The 2253-nt window shown below is 36.4% G+C and overlaps 1 annotated feature.

Annotated features, from left to right (window-relative positions):
* Positions 664 to 864: a silencer, noted in NCBI's record as "peak5264 fragment used in MPRA reporter construct". NCBI's record gives its function as "represses an SCP1 promoter by STARR-seq MPRAs in K562 erythroleukemia cells {active_cell/tissue: K562}" and the evidence as "EXISTENCE:reporter gene assay evidence [ECO:0000049][PMID:32103011]".

Here is a 2253-nt window from a genome sequence, read left to right as displayed (position 1 = left end):
ATTCTGAGAATAATTTCTGAAATAAAATATTAAATTGAGATCACAATACTGCCCTATAAATCAACTGTAAATGAAATTAGTTTAAGCTGGAAATATCTTAGTTATTTTATATATATTTATTACAAATTGAATGGTAACTGATTAGCAGAATCATTCAGGAAAATACTTTCTTAGCAGGAATATATTTGTCCAAGAATTTTCTATAAGTCTATGCCAGTTTTATGGGTCATGACGGCAGTTCTCGATCTGCATTTTCCTGAAGAGTTATAATAAGAATGTTCTTCAGGGATTGGCATCTAAAGTATAATGAAGGACATTGTTAAAGAAAGTATCTTTTGGGCTTAAATTAAGTATCTCTAGAGGCTGAGTGATAACAAAATGAGTTTTTCACATGCTCACCAGAGAGTGAAAACATCAATAACACAAACTGGAATTCTATTCCTTATTCAGAAATGCTATTCTTCTTACGATAACTTTCCATCACTTTAAACTTTGTCAATTAGTAATACAAACATTTAAACAGAAATAAGTTATATTTTACGTTTCCTATGCAAATTGTACCTCTATTTTTGAAGTATTATAAACAAGACTGTAAGGAAAGACTGCAACTGCACAATGGGTTCACCTTGCCTGCTGCCTAGACAGAGCCTATTTATCAAGACAAGGGAATTGCGATATAGAAAGAGGGCCTGCTGTGCGGGAGACTGGAGTTTTGTTATTACTCAAATCAGTCTGCCAGAGCATTCAGGGATCAGAGTTTTTAAAGACAATTTGGTGGGCGGGGAAGGGCAGTGAGTCAGGGAGTGCTGATTGGTTGGGTTGGAGATTGAATCATAGGGCGTTACTGTCTTATTGCGGAATCAGTTCCTGGATGAGGGTCACAAGATCAGATGAGCCAGTTTATTGATCTGGTGGTGCCAGTTGATCCATCAAGTGTAGGGTCTCCAAAATATCTCAAGTGCTGATCTTAGGAGCAGTCTAGGGAGGGTCAGAATCTTGTAGCCTCCAACTGCATGACTCCTAAACTGTAATTTCTAATCTTGCAGCTGATGTTAGTAGTCTAATCCCCAAGATAGAAGGAGGTTTGTTTTGGGAAAGCACTGTTATCTTTGTTTTAAACTATAAACTAAGTACCTCCCAAAGTTAGTTCAGCTTACACCCAGGAAGGCTTAAATGTTAGAAGCAAGATGGTGTCAGTTAGGTTAGATCTCTTTCACTGTCTCAGTCATAATTTTGCAAAGGTGGTTTCAAAACATTTAAAATGCTTTAATGAACAAATCATGTTCCAGAAACACCAACAATACCTTCTACAAACATACATATAACAAGTACAGTTTAGAACTGTAGGGTAGAAGGAAAATGCCCCTCCCTCTGCTGCTCTCTGAAGGTTCACTGCAATGACTGACAAGAAACAATAGGAGAAAATTCATAGACATTTGTTAATGTGCATAAGCATGGAAGCCATATAAAATATGAAACTCAAAGAATACACAGTAGATGAGGCTTATATACCCTCTTCATAAGAGAAAAGGAGAAGGGAAAATATAGACAATTTGAGGGGTTCTAAATGATTTTTAGTGGAATTGAATAAATCCAAGAGGTAGATGTTATCTTGTAAATTATTCTTTTAGGAAACTGAATGGGACAGCAAGTTATGGGAAGGTGAGGGGCAGAGCTATACTGTGAACAAAGGTTTTCTTATTATGTAGATAAAGTCTCTCAGATGATCTCTTGAAGCTGCCCTCAGAAGAGTGATTGAAAAGTCTCTCTCAGCATGGTGATAGCTTTTCGTCTCTTCTCTTCTCCAGTGGTTAATCTTTTCTAGTTATTTGATGATATTCCTAGGGAGGGGGTCTTAAGACAATTGCCTTTCTTTTAAAAAGAAGTTTCCTTTGTCAGATAAGGAAATGCCAGAGAGAGCCTATTCCTGCCCTTGAGGGAAGAAGAAATAAAAGATTAGAATGTTTTTGCTGAGGCAGCCCCTAAGGCCTTCTAATTCTAATATGCTCAGAATGCCAAAGCCCCATACTTTGGGATCTTGTTCTCTGTACCCTAACAATAGCTTTTGTTTGTTAAAATGTATCTTCTAAGAAACACTTATAAACAATACTTTGTTCAATCAATATTTATTGAGCACATACTCTGTCATCTTTTAGGTACCTGGGATACACCCATGAATAAAAAAATAGGAGAGGGGAAAGGGAAATAAACAGTAAAAAGAATGAGTAAGAAAATTATCCAGTATTTTAGAAG

The sequence above is a fragment of the Homo sapiens genome, chromosome 5 (assembly GCF_000001405.40).
Source record: "Homo sapiens chromosome 5, GRCh38.p14 Primary Assembly".
Lineage (NCBI taxonomy): Eukaryota > Metazoa > Chordata > Mammalia > Primates > Hominidae > Homo > Homo sapiens.
The sequence above is the reverse complement of the archived record's forward strand: the minus strand, read 5'-3'. Positions and strand labels throughout refer to the sequence as shown.